The sequence below is a fragment of the Homo sapiens genome, chromosome 3 (assembly GCF_000001405.40).
Source record: "Homo sapiens chromosome 3, GRCh38.p14 Primary Assembly".
Classification (NCBI taxonomy): Eukaryota; Metazoa; Chordata; class Mammalia; order Primates; family Hominidae; genus Homo; species Homo sapiens.
This window is the reverse complement of record NC_000003.12, coordinates 56,920,260-56,939,681: the sequence shown is the minus strand read 5'-3', so window position 1 is coordinate 56,939,681 and position 19,422 is coordinate 56,920,260. Positions and strand designations below refer to the sequence as shown.

General features: G+C 43.2%; 1 protein-coding gene across 14 annotated transcripts in view; it reads left to right on the top strand.

The window, feature by feature from the left end:
* The window catches only part of ARHGEF3 (Rho guanine nucleotide exchange factor 3), a 351,849-nt gene that overhangs the window by 139,587 nt on the left and 192,840 nt on the right, over window positions 1-19,422 (top strand). The window lies entirely within an intron of this gene.

The following is a 19,422-nucleotide window of genomic DNA, read 5'->3' as shown; positions in this document are numbered from 1 at the left end:
CCTGGACAATCTCTTCTGGGAGCAAGAACAGCCTGTTTGGCAAGCTATTCAGCAAGACATAAAACATAATAGTCCTCGGGATGAATCAAAATAATAGCAGGTCCTAGAAAATTGTGTTCTTAAGCCATTTCTAGACTGTTGGGAAGTATTGGGGTTCAGTCAGGGGTTTTAAACAGAAGGTGGTCCAAGAATCAGTCTCAGTATTGTTTTGTGGTTAGTCGTATTGATGACTGTTCATTGAAATTTTTATTTTTAATTTTAATCAAATGTAGCCTTTATTACACACACAAAAATGTCATGGTAGTGATCTTGCTACCTCCAAAAGAGCCTTATGTATTTGAAAGCATGAGAGGAGATGGTGATGTCGAGAACTGAGGGAACATACCTATTTAGAAAATCCTCCTTTTCTGAAGCCGAAACTTCCCTTTCTTTCCTCCGTGTTAGGTTTATTTCTCTTTCTGCCTGTGTCTGAATCTGGGAATGGGAATTGAAGCCTCTTGCGTGGAGGTTGGTAAAAGTCCTGTTATTGGATTTTCTTCTCTGTCATCAACTTCTTCCTCTTCACAGTGAGTGTGGCCCACTGAATAGACTGGACGAGATTGGATTGTGGCTCGAATACCACCCCCCTTTAAATGCCCAAATCATACTGCCCGTTAAATCAATTGAAAGACACAGCTAGAAGCAAGGGGAAAAAGATGGGATCCATTAACACACTTCACAGAGAGTGCAGGCAGGATGGAAGGACCACACTACCTGAGTCCTGGGCTTCGCAATGTCCAAATGTCCTATCTCTCTGTACAGTGTCAGCTTTCATGACTGACGATGCATCTACAAGGACTGGAGTTGAACTTCAAGCAAGAGACTCACAGACAAAGGCGCCCTGGGCCAGTGGCACACACTAGCTTTATCAAAGAGACTCAGGGACAAGTACGCCTGGTCTGTACTGCGGTTTGCCAATTAGCTGGATGAACAGCTGGCTAATTTCTGTTTTATCTCTTGGGCAGAAGACACATGAGGCTAGAATAGGTTATCTTCAACGGGGAGCCGAGCTAAGGCCTCATGTATGTTACGTGCTCATGTGTTCTTAGTGCCTCTGTATATTTAGTGCCTTGTAAGTCTCATGCATATTTAGTGTAACCAGATGCCTCATGAATATTAGGTATCTTTTGCTCCTTCCATCCCTTCTTGTCTGTGTTAGGTGCACACATTTGACTTACTAACCACTTAATTATAAGTAACATCACTTAAAATATATTCTATTATCGAAGATGAATAAGTCTTACAAACTTATTCTTCCTCCGTAATTGAAATTAGTAGTCTCTAAAAACTAATAATCATTAATCTTGATTGCATGGGGCCCATTTTAAAATGGGCTGCCCTATATAAGTGTGAAGATTAAAATTCTTTTCTTCCTTGATTTTTGGGCCTCCTGCATTTGTCAGTCTCCACTCAGGCTCTCTCTGCCATCCAACCCTGGAAATCTCAATGAACACAACTCCAGGACCAGCTTTTTTGTGCATGACTGTTACTGCCAACTCCCACGTGGTGCTGGAAATAAAACCAGCGGTATTAGATGCTGTAGCAGCAGCAAGGACCACCAGCACCTGACCCCTTGGTTAATACACATTCAGGGAAGAGGAGACATTCTTATACAGCAGAATACTGCTACATGATGTGTTTTTGTACCTCAGGGCTGATTCGACCTAACATTTCATTTAGAGAAAAGGGGGAATGAGACTGATTACTTTTTTATGGACAGATGAAAATTTGTGTTAAGTGTAAAGCTCTGACTTCAGGGAAGTCCATTTAATTTATGCAGGTTGAACTAAACCACTTCATTAAAAAGAGGATGGGGAGAAAACTTATGACTCAGCACAAGTTAGATGAGTGACTCTGTCATTTCCTCTGTCTATCCTATTGGAGTGATGGTGATTCTAGATGTTAACATGGGCTTTTTGTGCAGCCTACCCCCTAAAAACAAACAACAGCTTCCTCTGGGGCTCAACTGAAGATGTATATACAATACTTGTTCTAGCAGGGAGGAGGCATTATTGAGTGTGGTCTATTGGGAGAAGGGATGTCTGCCTTCATGTGTTGTCTTCTACATGGTTTCCATGATTCTTATTTATTGTGCGCTATTTTTCAACTTTTTATTATGAAAAATTTCAAACATATGGAAAAGTTAAAAGATAAGTGCATCAAACACTCACCATCTAGAATTAACAGTTCCTAACATTTGCTTTATGTATTTGTCTCTAGTTGTTGATACAGTTTGGCTTTATTTTACTAAACCATTCCAAAGTAACACAATTACAGATACTATGATTCTTCACATCTAAATATTTCAGTATATATGTCCTAATTATAAGGACATTTTCCTACATTATCATAGTATCATCATCAAACCTAAGTTATCAATAATTCTCCAACATTCTAATATTCCATCTATATTCATATTTTCTCAGTTGTCTTTTATAACTGGTTTCCCCCAAATCATTCAAGGATCATGCACTGCATCTAGCTGGATTTATTTTTTGTTTGTTTTTATCCAATCAAGGACCATGATTTCATTTTGTTATGTTTCTTAAGCCTTTTTGATTCTCAGATACTCCCCTCGTCCCTCCAGTTTTTGAAAAGACCAATTTGTCTTTTGAAACTTTGGAGGCTGGGCACAGTGGCTCATGCCTGTAATCCCAGCACTTTGGGAGGTCAAGGCGGGTGGATTGCTTGAGCTTAGGAGTTCAAGACCAGCCTGGGCAACATGGCGAAACCTATCTGTACAAAAAATACAAAAATTAGCCAGGCTTGGTGGTGCATGCCTGTAGTCTCAGCTACTTGGGCAGCTGAGGTGGGAGGATCACTTGAGCTCTGGAGTTGGAGGCTGCAGTGAGCTGTGATTGTGCGACTGCAGTCCAGCCTGGGCAATGGAGTGAGACCCTGTCTCAAAAAAACCCATGGAACTTTGGAATGTGTCTCACAGTTGGGTTTATCTGACTGCTTCCCTATGATGTCATTTAACTTGTTCTTCAGCTCTATATATTTCTTGTAATCTGGTAATTTGGATCTAAAGACTTAATTTGTTTTAGGTTAAACACTTTTGGGCAGGAAAACATCCTAAGGGATGCCGGTTACTTGCATCTTATTAAGAGGCACACAGTTGGGTTGTTACTAGTGATGCTAATTTGCTATGCAGGGTAGACGCTGATGAGAGCTCAGACCCTGAGTGGGGAGTGTCTCTGCTGTCATATTTTGGTGAATATTTTAGACAGAGTTTTTGGCAAAGAATAGGCACTTGCTCCATTACCTCAAGAAAATGGCTTTTTAATAAGAGAATATATAGTTGCAGGAACCTAGGACTTCTCTTTGTGGGTCAGTTTCATTCCCCTTCTCTCTCTGCCTTCACTTGTTACTGACCTATAGGTTCTGCTCCCGGTGTCTCCTCCTTGTATGTGGCACTGTTGGGCTTGTCATGATGCCAGCTCTGGACCAACTCAGTGTGATCTTTCAGCAGCTCGCTCTCCTACAGCTTATGGCATAGTCTCAGGTTCCCCATCCCCAAATCCCTAAGAAAACTTCAATTGGATCAGTTTTTCTTTCTTGCACTGGGCTTCACAAGTGGTGGGCAGTCAGCTGGCTAGCTCTTAAAAGGGCTTCTCTACCTCTTGGTTCAGTCATCTGTGGCCAGAGAGTCAAGGTCAAATGGATCTGTCACTCACCAGCTTGGGCAAGTAATCAGCCTCACTGAGATTCAGATTCCCCATCTGAAATCATATGTAGCTCATAGGGTTATTATGAAGATTGACTTAAATAATCATATCAAGTATTTAGCACTGGGTCTGTGACATAGTAATGTGTCTGGAATTGGTGGGTTCTTGGTCTCACTGACTTCAAGAATGAAGCCACGGACCCTCGTGGTGAGTGTTACAGCTCTTAAGGTGGCGCGTGTGGAGTTTGTTCCTTCTGATGTTCAGATGTGTTCGGAGTTTCTTCCTTCTGGTGGGTTCGTGGTCTCGCTGGCTCAGGAGTGAAGCTGCAGACCTTCGTGGTGAGTGTTACAGCTCTTAAGGCAGAGCGTCTGGAGTTGTTCGTTCCTCCCGGTGGGCTTGTAGTCTCGCTGGGCTCAGGAGTGAAGCTGCAGATCTTCACGGTGAGTGTTACAGCTCATAAAAGCAGTGTGAACCCAAAGAGTGAGCAGTAGCAAGATTTATTGCAAAGAGCGAAAGAACAAAGCTTCCACACTGTGGAAGGGGACCCCAGCGGGTTGCCGCTGCTGGCTAGGGCAGCCTGCTTTTATTCTCTTATCTGGCCCCACCCACATCCTGCTGATTGGTAGAGCCGAGTGGTCTGTTTTGACAGGGCGCTGATTGGTGCGTTTACAATCCCTGAGCTAGACACAAAGGTTCTCCACGTCCCCATCAGATTAGTTAGATACAGAGTGTGGACACAAAGGTTCTCCAAGGCCCCACCAGAGTAGCTAGATACAGAGTGTCGATTGGTGCATTCACAAACCCTGAGCTAGACACAGGGTGCTGACTGGTGTGTTTACAAACCTTGAGCTAGATACAGACTGCCAATTGGTGTATTTACAATCCCTGAGCTAGACATAAAGGTTCTCCAAGGCTCCACCAGAGCAGCTAGATACAGAGTGTCGATTGGTGCATTCACAAACCCTGAGCTAGACACAGGGTGCTGATTGGTGTGTTTACAACCCCTGAGCTAGACATAAAGACTCTCCACCTCCCCACCAGACTCAGGAGCCCAGCTGGCTTCACCTAGTGGATCCCGCAGCGGGGCTGCAGGTGGAGCTGGCTGCCAGTCCAGCGCCGTGTGCTCGCGCTCCTCAGCCCTTGGGTGGTCGATGGGACTGGGTGCAGTGGAGCAGGGGGTGGCGCTCGTCGGGGAGGCTGGGGCCGCACAGGAGCCCATGGAGTGGGTGGGAGGCTCAGGCACGGCGGGCTGCAGGTCCCAAGCCCTGCCCCGTGGGAGGGCAACTAAGGCCTGGTGAGAAATCGAGCGCAGCGCTGGTGGGCTGGCACTGCTGGGGGACCCAGTACACCCTCCGCAGCCGCTGGCCCGGGTGCTAAGTCCCTCATTGCCCTGGGCTGGCAGAGCCGGCAGCTGCTCCGAGTGCGGGGGCCGCCAAGCCCACACCCACCCGGAACTCCAGCTGGCCCGCCAGCACCGCACGCAGCCCCAGTTCCCACTCGCGACTCTCCTTCCACACCTCCCTGCAAGCTGAGGGAATGGGCTTCAGCCTTGGCCAGCCCAGAAAGGGGCTCCCACAGTGCAGTGGTGGGCTGAAGGGCTCCTCAAATGCTGCCAAAGTGGGAGCCCAGGCAGAGGAGGTGCCAAGAGCAAGCGAGGGCTCTGAGGACTGCCAGCACGCTGTCACGTCTCAGTAACTGCTCAGTAAATATTCTCTCCATCCCTGCTACTACTACTATTATGCTATATTCACTCAGCAGGAGCTGTGGACAACGTTGGTGAAGTGGGGCAAATATCCTGGGAAGGGAATGTGAGGACTATATCCATGTATTAGTCCATTTTCACACTGCTGTAAAGAAATACCCGAAACTGGGTAGTTTATAAAGAAAAGAGGTTTAACTGACTCACAGTTTTGCATTGCTGGGGAGGCCTCAGGAAACATACAATCATAGTGGAAGGGAAAGCAGGCACATCTTACATGGTGGCAGGCAAGAGAGCAAGTGTGTGAAGGAAGAACTGTTAAACACTAATAAAACCATCAGATCTTGTGAGAACTCACTCACTGTCATGAGAATAGCATTGGGGAAACTGCCCCCATGATCCAATCACCTCCCACCAGACCCTTTCTGTACATGTGGGGATTATGGGGATTACAATTTGAGAGGAGATTTGGGTGGGGACACAGAGTCAGACCATATCAATCCCCAAACATTTCTAGCATACTAGAAAAACTTTCCTTTTTACAAATAATTTTTCCATTGGGACATGGAGGCTCAAGCCTGTAATCTAGCAATTTAGGAGGCCAAGGCGGGTGAACCCTTTTGAGCCCAGGAGTTCAAGACCAGCCTGGGTAACATCGTGAAATCCTGTCTCTACAAAAAATACAAAAATTAGGCAGGTGTGATGGCACGCGCCTGTGGTCCCAGCTACTCAGCAGGCTGAAATGGGAAGATCACCTGAGCCCAGGAGGTCAAGGCTGCAGTGATCTGTGATCGTGTCACTGCACTCTAGCCTAGCTGACAAAGTGAGACACTGTCTCAAAAAAAGTTAAAAACTAAAAAAAAGTAAAAAAAAAAAAAAAAGAAAAGAAACATTTTTCCATTTTATAGAGTGATCAATTCAGACTCTAGGTTATGGAAGACTGAGTCTGGACCATTTGCTCTTTGTGTAAATGTGCCCTTAAATAAAAAAGACATTCCTGCTGCATATGGAGAGATGTACCAATTTAGAGGGAAGAAAGAAAATTTGTTGTGCAAAAAGCTATTGAATGAATTTTAAATGTAGTCTGAATATATTCTTGAACATTCTATGTATTCCTTCTGATAGGTGTTGACTGATGGTAATTCAGATCTTGTGTATCTTGTGACGCTTGGCAGTAGATTCGGTTCTGACTTTATTTTGCATGCATCTCTGTGTACTGCCGCAGACTGGTACTGAACTAACTGTTCTTGGCTTCTTAATCATGGCACCTTAGTTGCCCAATGAGAATATGCAACAAATGACTACATTCCTCTCATGTTTGCAGTTTTGATGTGGTACAAATTAACATCTTGTTTGGAAGGATAAAAGAAGATTATTTTGATAATGAGGTAACAGTTGAAATCATTGACCTCAGCAGGTCAGTCTGAGGATTGGAAATTTTTTAAAGCTTCAGAATTAGCATTTTAAGTGATAACTCAAAATGCTGGTGAGGGTACTGTAGGATGGACTCTGTCACAGGTGTTCAGTGGTAGTGTTACTTGGTCATCTTTCTGGAAAGCAGTTTGTTTATTTATGTCACGAACCATAAACATATGTAAGTTTATTGGCCCAATAATTCCACGACTAGGAATCTATCCCACAGAAGTCACCAGAGATGTGACTTATGCACGAAAATGTTTAGTGCTGCAGCAGTTACAATGACAGAAAAAAGTGGAAAAAGTGTGAATGCCCACTAATGTGAGGCAGTTGGTGTAAAGTGTGGTTTTGTTCATATGAGTTGTAAGTGACAAGGGGAGGTTGAGGAAGAGTTTTAATTCAGGGAAAATGTTTATTGGTATGTTTTAAGAAGCAGGAAACAAAATTGTATATACAGTACAATTTGGGCTATGAAAAAAAGCACTTGAGAGGATTAAAAGAAAATACGCTGAAATATTAATAATGGTTTCCTTTTGGGAAGTGAGGTTATACATGACTTTTTTTTGTTTTGTTTTGACTTTCGTACGTTTCTATGGGGTGCATGTATTAATTTTATATTTGAGGGAACAAAAAGCTGAAGTCATAAGACAAATATTTGAATGGCAATTTTGAGTGGAGTCTTAGGTTTTAAGGTTTAAGAATAAAAATCCTCCCCAACAGGCAACAGAAATGAATCTAAGTCAGAAATGCAATGAATTGGACTAAATCCCATGCTTACTTAAGATGGAATTTTAAAATATGGCATCACATATGTTTGTGGAGGAGTTTCAAATGTGAGAACTTGGTAAAAGTGAACTTGGAGGAATTTTGTCTTCTTTTTCTAACAGCAACAACAACAACAAAAAAACCCCATAAATCTTACTTGGATATTTGAGAGGGGAGGAAAGCACCTTGATAAGAATGGATACTGTGTACTCAGCCAAGAAAAAAATCATGGCTCTAAAGCAATCATCCTGGACCAAAAGATTCATATTCCAAGGAATTAATAGGTAGCTGAATGGTGGTGCCTCTCTGTGTTGGGCACATTATTTTTATGAGTTCTGAGTGCTTGCTTGGGACAGTACTTTGGAATATCACTTTGGAAAAATCAGAGAAAAATACCTAATATGGCAGCCTGTGTATTCCCCTTAATTTAATTATGAAACTCAGATAACTACAGATTGCAAATTTGGTTTTTTTAGGAAAAAGATATGTGGCTTTTTTTTTTTTTTTTTTTTTTTTTTTGAGACAGGATCTCACTCTGTCACCCAGGCTGGAGTGCAGTAGCACGATCATGGCTCACTGCAGCCTTGACCTCCTGGGCTCAGGTGATCCTCCCACCTCAGCCTCCCTAGTAGCTGGGACTGCAGGCACATGCCACCATGCCTGGCTAATCTTTGTATTTTCTGTAGAGACAGGGTTTTGCCATGTTGCCCAAGACAGTCTTGAACTCTTGGGCTTAAGTGATCTGCCTGTCTCGGCCTCCCAAAGTGCTAGGATTACAAGCGTGAGCCACTGCACCTGGCCAAAAAGATATGTGGCTTTTAAAAAATAACTTCCACCCAACAGTATGTTTCCCATCACGGAACTTGTGTAATTATAGTCTAATGTGTTTTTTCTTAAGAAGAACCTCTGCCAGGCATTAGGAAGTTCATCAGCAATTTCTCAAACTTCTCAAGGAGGGAAAAGCCTTGAGGTTTAGACTGGAATAGGTTTTTCAGGTCTACAGAATTGGTACAAATGGATCGGATTTGCTGTTCTTGAAACATAATAAAGCCTCCTGCTGCCTTATTCTTCCAGTCTTGATGTCATGTCATTTTTTTCTTCTTTTAAAAATATACTCATCTCATTATCCAGAGTGACTAAGAGGCGCAGCATATGTGCCACTAAAATACTTGTCCTCGATTCGCTCTTTCTTTTCTCCTGATACCTGTTGCTCAGGAAATGACTTACCCATCTGGTTTCATTAGTCATTCTGATGTGCTTTGTCAAATGCCCTCCATGGAGCGTGGTATTGAACATCATCTCCCTACCTCAATAAATGCCCATTTCCCTTCACTTACTACATGCATTTAAAAAATATATTTTAGGGTTTTGGTTTAAAGACTAAAGTTCCTTTTGCTTTATGTTATTTAGTGGCACTGAACTTCTTTAATATATTAAGAAATATTTCCACTACCAAACTCAAAGAGCAAAAGTCAAAAAAATGCAGTGAACAAGATTAGGAAAGAATCCTTACTTTGAGGCAAAGACAATGCAAGTATCTCAATTAATTCAACATCGGTAGTTCTCGTCAAAAATCTATCCCAAAATCTGTGCCTCTGTGTGTGTTGCTGGAAGAAACACGAAGTTTGCTTTCTGGGTGGTTTCCCTTCAGCTGCCTTTCATTCCTTATGCTTGACGCTGGTTTTATTTCTAGAAGAAACCAACCTTAAAAGTCTCTGGTTTAGCAATAGGAGGAGTTCAAAACATTTTCACCTGTTGTTAGTTGTGTTTGTTTAAACAAACTCATGCAACTATTGTTGCTTACAGCCACCGGGTTCGTTTCTGCTGGCCTGGCAGGGTTTGTGTTGGCAATGGTAGAGAGATGCTATCGGCATCTCATTGTGTACTGTTTGCATAACGGGACAGGACAGCCAACTCCAGCCATTAAAAAAAATGCTTTGGATTAGATGAATGGTTTTATTAAGGTACCTGTCAGATTGGGAAGGTGCAACTGTGACTGATGAGGACCTCCTGAAGAGGATCCCAGCCACAGCTGGTGGGAGGGGGGGGCTGGTAGTTGACCCAGACTCAGGAATGTGGCTGCACTGCAATGGGCTGGCCACCCAAGAGTGGGAGAGGGTCATCGGTGAGGGAGAGCACTGGCAAAAGCATTGTCAGTTGCATTGTCCTTTGGGGCTTCAGGTTTTTTATACCTCAGAGGATCTAGGGCTATTCCGGAAACATCAGCCAAGGGAAGCTCTACTGGATTTTCCTCAGTTAATAGCATCTACACAAGGCTTTCCTTCAAGAACAGTCATCCTGTTAGCTACTAATAAAATAACATAGAAGTGCTGAAGTTTTGAGCCTGGAAACAATAATTTTAAAGATACATAGTGTTTGAGTTTACTTATTTGCTCTTAGAATGAAGTCACCACTTGTCACCGTGACTATGGAAACATAGGAAATACATTTTGGGGAGTTCTGCTTAAGTCATTCCATGTCCCCTAGTAAGGTTCTCAAAGTGTGGTCCATGGGACATTAGTGGCAACAGAACCCGGAAGCATATTAGATATGCAGAATTTCAGGCTCCACCCAAGACCTGAAGCAGTAGCTGCATTTCATTGAGATCCCCAGGTGATGTGTGGGCACATTAAAGTTTGAGAAACATTCCGATTTTTAGGGTGGTCTAGATTCAGGTTGCAGATACTGTCGACTCAGTAGAGATTTCATGTGAAGCTCTTTAGTCAGGATTTGGGGTGATGGAAATTGGCATGTAAACCGTCCCTTCTTTCTGTAGCAGAAGAAAGTTGGGCTGTGATAAATTTCAGTTAACCAGGAGCCATGACTCTAGCCACTTGGGACTGAAATAATTAGTGCAAATCCTTCTGTAGTTCAGAATGAGTAGAAGAGGCCACAGTCAGGGTTAAAAACTCTGGTATCCCCCACTCTCACTCTCCTTTCTAGACCCTTCTTCCCCAATCCAGAGGACCCAAATTGCAGCCTTTTTGTCCTAGATAGGCCCTCCTGGAGGTCTCTCTTTAATGCAGAGGATGCCCCTTTTCTCACAGTGTGCACATAGTAGGCCTTTTGCTGACCTTGTGGGTGTCCTTTATTGTCCTGTGCAGCAAGGTCGCTATATCCTGACATGTGACTCATAGGCAAGACAGCAATTTCTGATAAGGAGGGAAGGGTGGCCATTCCACCTCCTCACTGAGGCCCGTGTGTTATGTAATGCATTTCCTGCCTTTGATTCTTTACCCATGTGGCCCTGCCTGTCTACTGTCCTGGCTGCTGTTTTCTTTGTTCTGCAGCAGAGGAATTCAACCTCTCTGGGGCTTAAATCCCACTCAACCCTGGCTGTTTCTTGGCACAGTTTTTCCTTAGGTGGCAGTTCACTGGGGGGCAGAGGCACATTTTCCAAACCCTGCTGTGTCTCAGTTCATCTAATATGTCTTCATTTCAAGAGAGATTTGGGCAAAGGCTAAGCTGATTACAGGGCTCAAGTGGAGCCCTGAGCACATTTCAGATCTGGAATGCAAATTGTTGTCTGCAGTAATTGTAGTTTGCACCATGGCCCTACTCAGCCCCCATGGTCATTTTCCTGCTGCAAAATAAGCAGCTTTGTGCTTTCAAAGTGGGAGGTAATGAGGGGGAGAGGAGCACCTAAGGGACATTAAGGAGTGTTTTCAGAGCCTGTCTGCAAGCCTGAGTGGGAGCAGAACGGACCCAGATGTGTGTAGGGATGCTGCCACTGAAAAGCTCTGTGACCATGGGCCAGGAACCCAACCTCGCTGAGCCTCAATGTCTTCTAGTCCTTGCTTCAGAGGGTTGCTGTGGTGATAAGGTGGCAATGATGTGGCAGGACACTCAACATGGTGCCTGGTATATAGTAGATGCTCAACAAGGGGGAGTTTCTTTTCACTGCCTACAGGTGCCATAAGCTTTGGGGTCTGCAGTGGGGAAACACGTGCCCTTCTTAAAGGGTGATTCCAGCACACATGTTGGTTAATACTCTCCTGCTCTGAAGAGCTTTGGTGCATCCTTCTCATGCTGCATGTGTCTGCAGAATTGAGGGCTGGCTTAGAGTGCTGGCTTGGGGTAGATTTCCTGCATGTCAATCTAGCTGTGTGCTGTCTGGCAATTGCTTAACGTCTCTGAACCTCAGGTTTTCTCATTCATAAAATAGACATCATAATCATTTTTGATTCACAGGTTGTTAGAAATATTTATGTAAAAACAAATGTAAAATTGAGCACCAGTGCTTGACACAAACTGTGAAGGCAGTACTATTGTTATCCCCTTTGCAGAGATGAGGAAATCAAGGTTTTTGTTTGTTTGTTTGTTTGTTTTTTATGGGTCAAATGACTTTCCCAACTCTGCAGCTCATATGCGGTACCACCTGGACTCTGGCCTAGCAGATTGGCTCTGTGGTCCATGGTAGGTATCCCTGACATTGAACCTCCAGGTGGTTGGAAATACTGCACAAACACACTTTAGGTGCCTGATCCTGGGGCTCCCCTCCTCAGACCCCTCATTTTTGTTGAAAAATTCTTTGTTAAATTGGGTTAAAGCAGATCATAATAAAATCACTATTACCATATTATATAATGTTACATATCGTATATTTAAAATATAAGTTTATGTTATATATTATACTTTTATATAAGATTATTATATGTAGTATCAGCAACAGCTATTTACACAGATTTGCATTGCTATTGGAAATGCCCTAGCCATTGTCAGCACTTATAATTGCTTTTTGTTGTGCCACATGGGGGCTTATTATCCGTCATGTTGCTGCAAAATTACTTGTTTATCTTATAGTCTCTAGGAAACTGCAATTGTTACTTACTATGTGCCAGGCACTATGCTCAATGATACATATTTGACTTATTTGATTCTCACAAGAACTTTTTGCAGTGGGTCCTCTTACTGTTCCCATTTACCAGAGGAGGAAACAGAGGCACAGGGAAGTTAAGTAAATGATCAGGGGTCACGCATTAAGTGACAGCACTGGGATTTGAACCCAGGTTATCTGGCTTAGAACTCCTATTCCTCACTTCTGTGCTAAACTGCCTTCCTTTATTTCTGGTCTGTGTTCTGGTTGCTATGCCCTCACCACCCCGGCTGGCTTGGCATTTCCAGACCTCTGGGGCTGCACACTTAACACAGCATTCCCTGGGGCCTGTTACTAAGTATGAGTCCCTCTCAGCCTCAAAGGGTCATTCTGGGGACTCCTCCCACCCCTCCCGGGGTATTCATCCAACCCAGGAGGCTCTTTGTGGCTCAACCACACACATTCTTTTAAAAAATAAAAATCAGCTTTTCATTTTAATGATGACACAACCCAGAGGTGAGGTTCTTGTTATCACACTGGGGGAATCTGGGTGATTGGAGTTGTAAAATCAAGTAGCTGGGGAATTCCTTGTTTTCTCCATAAATTATCCATGTGAGAGCTCTGTGTAATTTCACATTACAGGAGGGAATGGCTGTGTTTAACTCCTTCTGTTGGAAGGGCAGACTTATTTCACTTCTTACTCAGCCAGGAGAGGGAGTTGGAAAGCATAGAAATGGAACTTCTTGTTATTACAATTCCTGGCTTTCAGCAAATATATTTATGTTTGTGTACTTTAAAAATACATAGGAAAAGCATCTGACTAGTACTGTATTCTATGGCCATGGCCACTGTTCTTGACAAAAAGAATTTCTATCTGGTCATGCAGCTGTTCTGGCTGAGAAACTTGCCCTGGTTCCCCATTTCCTGCAGGGTGGAGTTGGAACTCCTTCCTTGGCTCCAAGCATCTCATCCCTGGCCTTCGCATCCTGTCCCTTCCATAGACCCCTTGACTGTCTCCTCGCCTCCTGAATGAACTTTGCTGTTCCCACTTCTCACCTTTGCGCTGACCCCCCTCTCCTCAGCCTGGCAACTCCTATACATCACTGACAACCAGCTGGAATGGCACTGTCATTGGGGAGACCCTGAGAATGGTCCCTGGCTTCTTCCTCTGCAGCCTAGTGCTTCGAGGCTGTGGGAACCAGCAGGTTGAGCAGTGAGCATTGTGTACAGGTCTGCGTCTCCTCTGGCCTGTGAGCTTCTGAGGTATTTTTGCATGCCTGATGCTTTGAACACAGAGCTGGGCACATTTCTGTTGAACAAAGGAAGCTGGTCTCATCTTTACACATGTCAGTCTGCATTTCTTCCCCAAGAAGGGTTTTTGGGTGATGGGTAGAATACCAGGTGGGAGATTGGACCACCAGCCTCCAGGCTCCATGAGAGCCAGGCTGTCCTGTGGCTTTGGTGCCTGCACTGTGGCCAGTGTGTATTCAGTCACTGCCTGAATGAGTATTGTGGTAAGAACCTGTGCTGCAGGCCTAGACTCCAGTCCTTATTCCATTACTGCCAAGCTTGGCACATTGGACAACTTTTTTTAACCCTTCTGAGCCTCTTTCCTCATCTATAAACTAGGGATAATAAAAGTACTTATCTCATAGGGTGGTCATAGAATTAAATTAGCTTAGCCTACCATCTGACACATAGCAAGCCCCCAGTCAATGGTGGTTCGTATTGTTGTTAATAATGAAGTGGATTGGTTACAGGATGTGATAAGTAGTGGGAAGGAAATCAGTAGGGTATCATGATAGAGAATAACGATGGTGGGGTATAAGGCATGGTCCTATAGACAGCCTGGTCAGGGAAGCCTCCTGTGAGCTGAACTTGAGTGATGACACAGCTGAGTTAAGCAGAAAATGAATTTATTACAGTGTCTAGGGTAGCTCAGAGAATTTCGGAAGGACCAGGGAAACAGGGACAACTCCAAATTATACCACCAAACAGTTATTGTAAAGACACTATTGCTACCACTGCTGGGTAGGTGTAGACGCCATGGCTTGCACCACCAATGCTGGTTGTAGGCTGTGGCTACCCAGTCTACCCTTACTCTGCCTCTGCAAGCTGCCACCACCCTCGCAGAATGGGGTCTGCAGCGGCCCTGCCGCTTTGCATCCCAGCACATGATTGGCTGAGCCTGCTCATGTTCTCATGCTGTGGCTGCAAGGGAGGCTGGGAAGCAAGTGTATGGCACTCTCATCTCCTCTGGTAGAATGTGGGCTCTGGTTCCTGAGTTGGGGAATTCCCCAAAGCTAGCCAGGTAGGGGGTTCAGCTGCAGGAGACTCAAAGGGTGACCCTTATGTCAGAGGCATGTGAACAAGAGCAACTCCATCTTGAATAGGAGCTGGGTAGCATGAGGCTGAGACCTACTGGGCTGCATTCCCAGACAGTTAAGGCATTCTAAGTCACAAGATGAGATAGGAGGTCAGCACAAGATACAGGTCATAAAGACCTTGCTGATAAAACAGGTTGCAGTAAAGAATCTGGCTAAATCCCACCAAAACCAAGATGGCAACGAGAGTGACCTCTGGTCATTCTCACTGCTACACTCCCACCAGTGCCATGACAGTTTACAAACGCCTTGGCAACGTCAGGAAGTTACCCTATATGTTCTATAAAGGGGAGGCATGAATCATCCACCTCTTGTTTAACATATAATCAAGAAATAACTGTAAAAATGGGCAACCGTCTATGGAGTAGCCATTCTTTTATTCCTTTACTTTCCTAATAAACTTGCTTTCACTTTACTCTCTGGACTTGCCCTGAATTCTTTCTTGCATGAGATCCCAGAACCCTATCTTGGGGTCTGGATCAGGACCCCTTTCCTGTAACACAGAGACTCATGGAGTAAGGAACACGTAGTGTCGCTGGGCCTCAGCAGCTTTCATCTAATAGGCAGTGGTGCTTTAAGAAAGGCCTGACTGCTTTCCTCTTAGACAATGATTTTTTTAAAAAGAGTGCTGAATTTGGAAGCAACTAGTTCTCAATGTGATGAGAGGCTAGGAACTATTTTTTACACATCATTTAGTTTGTGCAGGTGTGGGGTAGCATGTTTCTCCCCTGTTTATCACAGACTTGCATTCCTGTTGGAAATGCCCTAGCCATTGTCAATGCTTATAATTGCTTCTTGTTACAGCCACGTGGGGCTTATTGTCCATGATTTTGTTGCAAAGTTTATTGTTTATCTTATACGGTCTCCAGGAAGCTGCATGCGGAAATCTCTCAGCCTTACCAGGAAGTCTGACTTAAAGGGACAGCCTCCAGGGCAGAGCCCTAACTGGGAGGAGGTGCTGAGCTTCCAACCAGGACCAGTTACCTTGGGTGAGAGTTGGAAGCCCTTTCCACCTGTCTCATTTGGTTTGCTATTTTCCAGTGTTTTGGTGATTCCTTTCTGATTCTGAATTAAGGGAGAAAAAGTGGCAATACCAATTCTTCATGTACACATGAACACACCCAAAACATAACAAAACAAAAAACCACTTTCACTGGTGTTTAGGCAGAATGAACACTCTGAGTCATGGGACACACATGCTTTTAAATCTCTTGGTTTCTTGGGGGTATTTTCATAAAAGTCTTGAACTTTCTAGATGGATACAGGGATTTCAGGGAAGTCAGCATTGTAAGATTAAAAAAATAAATATGACTTAAGTTTTAACTATGCTCTCATTTTTTTTCTCTATTGGAAGGAAGAAGGGAAATGGGAAACTGCTAGTTTCTATTACCTTTTTCTTAGATGCCCAGTTGACAGTCAAATCAGGATAGAAAAATCAAACTCTGGATTTCAGATTTGGTACTGCTTTTCAATTTGCTAGGAGGAAAATTTGAACCAGTTTCCATCGTTACACCAAAAAATTTCCTCTTCTGTTTGAAAAAAAATAAATTATTACTGTGCCTTTGTCTTTTAAAAAATATTTTATTATGGAAAAATTAAAACCTATACAAAAATAGAAACAATAGTATGATGGCCCAAAGTTCCCATCATCCATTGTTCTGCTTCTTTTTTTGAGACGGAGTCTTGCTCTGTTGCCCAGGCTGGAGTGGCACGATCTTGGCTCACTGCAACCTCTGCCTCCTGGGTTCAAGTGATTCTCCTGTCCCAGCTTCCCGAGTAGCTGGTATTATAGGCACACGCCACCATGCCCAACTAATTTATATATATATATATATATATATATATATATATATATATATATATATATATTTAGTAGAGATGGGGTTTTGCCATTTTGGCCAAGCTGGTCTTGAACTCCTGACCTCAGCTGATCCTTCCGCCTACGCTTCCCAAAGTGTTGGGATTACAGGCGTGAGCCACTGCACCCAGGCTGTTCTGCTTTTAAATACATATGTCAGTTAGTATCCTACCATCCTCCCTGCAACCTGCTAGGGATAAAGGAGTCATTCCTGTTTTACAGATAAGGAAACTAAAGATCAAGGAAATTAAGAGTGACTTACCAGGTCATTCAACTAGTAAATGGCAGAGCCAAAAATCACAGAGCCCAAATATTAATTTATTGTTAACTATTCCAGCCAGATGGTTTTTCCCAGAAATTATCCCTAAAGAGTTATCTGAAGTCAAAATAATGGTGAGAAACTTTTTAATAAGAATGATTCTTGCTTTTGTTATATATTTTTAACTTGGAAATTCGGTGTGTCAAGCATTGTTTTTTGATCTAGGCAGATTACTTTTAAAAATCCTCCTGAGTATTCATGTAAGTGTCAGAAATACCCCTCCCTCCCACCCCCATATTCAGATTTTCCACTTCCAACCAACTTTGACAGTGCAATGCCAAATAGTAAGTCTCATTTCCAAGTAAGGAAGCCCTTTGGCTGATAGATATCAGCTAATCAGTTTTTAAACTTTTTTTTCTTCCTAAAAATTGTGCAGAGGTCAGTAACCCACAGACAGGAGTTTCACTTTTAACTGACAGTGTAAGGAAGGAGACTTGACAGTTTCTTGAAAAAGCTGCACCCAGGGTGTTTATGTTTCTAAGAAATAAACTGGATGAGCTTATTTGCAAGCGGCCCCTGTGTGCTTCATGCAGAAATTCTTCAGGTGGCCCTTGCTTCTTGTGTTAGTCAAGGAGGCAGAACCGCAGCGGCCAGGCCGGTGGCTGCTTCACAGCATACATCAGCTTTCCTTTTTTTTTTTTGCATTCACTTTTAAAAATAGCTGCCCATGTATCAGTTGCCAAAATAATGTGAGGAATCTGGTTATAAAAGTTCAGATTTGTTTAGAGAGAATAAAGACAGAGCTCAGGCGATTGCTTGTAACAAAACCAGTAAGATAAGCACTCAAGATTAGCCATGACTAGCAATCGTTGAGACTTCCATGTTCCAGCATCATTTATTTTTAGTTCCTGTGTTGAAACCATAGATGAAGACTTTTCTATTTATTCATTCTTGACCTTGAGCAGCCAGGTCTGCTCCCACATTCTTCTCATCATTTTATAATCTTGTTGAGCTGGGATACTAAGCAGGGCTCTCCAAGAGCATCAACATTTTCAAATGTTCACAGTCTCTTGAGTTGAACCACCTTGAGTCCAATAGGCCTTGGCCTGGGAAAGTGTCTGGACACCGCTGCTCCATTTGTCTAGAGTTCATGGTGAAGCAGGCAGAGGAATTGTTCAGGTTTTACTTGGATTAACCACCCTTCCAGCTTTGAGGAGTAGATAAAGACATTCAATAAAAGTGCATGACTGTGAGCAACTCTCAGGCTCTAATTTGATATTCTTTTTATTTCTCACTGGCTTGCTGTGCTTTATGCCTCCCTGATAACCTAGTAACACCCAAATTTTGTTTTTCCTTAGTGTTACCTGAATTTGTTTTTGAATTTTTGTTTTTCCTTAGTCTTACCTAAATTTGACAACAGTCTTAGAAACCTAAGATCTGAGAACTAATAATCTTATGATGTTGGAACCTTGGGTAAGCCAGTGTGCAATATATTATTTTAATTTGGTCACGGCTACCATCCCATTTGAGATTTTTTCCAACCTTTTTTTTTTTGGTCTTTTTTTTTTTCTTTTTATGGAGAATAGGGTCTCACCATGTTGTCCAGGCAGGTCTTGAACTCCCGGGCTCAAGCCATCCTCATGTCTCTGCCTCCCTAACCACTGGGATTACAGGTGTGAGCCACTGCACTGGCCCATGAGTTTTTTTTTTTTTTTTTTTTTTTGAGATGGAGTCTCGCTCTGTCACCCAGGCTGGAGTGCAGTGGTGCAATCTCGGCTCACTGCAAGCTCCGCCTCCCAGGTTCACATCATTCTCCTGCCTCAGCCTCCTGAGTAGCTGGGACTACAGGTGCCCGCCACCACGCCTGGCTAATTTTTTTTTGTATTTTTAGTAGAGACAGGGTTTCACCACGTTAGCCAGGATGATCTTGATCTCCTGACCTCGTGATCTGCCCGCCTCGGCCTCCCAAAGTGCTGGGATTACAGGCATGAGCCATCGTGCCCGGCCTTGGCCATGAGATTTTTTTACTACCTATTTTTAAATTCAGTTTGTGGAATTTTAAAATTTGAAGTATCAAATGGGGTATGTTTAAAGACCTTGAAATTCCCTTTCCAACTGTAAGATTTTGTGACATTTCTGGCTTGTTAAGTACAAATAAGAAAGACATTAAGGAACCAGGATAAAGTTCAAATGGAAAGAATCATCGTTGCTTGCCAACTTTTAATGAAGAAGTAATTCTGCTAAAATCTAAATATTTTATTTTATGTAAATGAAATTCTCACAACCCTGACGAGTATGTTCCTTATAATATCTTTGGTAAGGAAATTGCTTGGAACTTCTCAACAGAAAATACCCTCAGATATATCGAACAAGAACACAGGAAACATGGTTCTGGTTCTAGTGATACCATGACACTTTTGGTGACACCTTAGTTAGGTCCCAGTTTTGGTGCTAATCTCTTTAGAGCCCAACAAGAGGGGTTGTTACCAGTTTGGTTATTTAACCAGCTGTGGGAAAA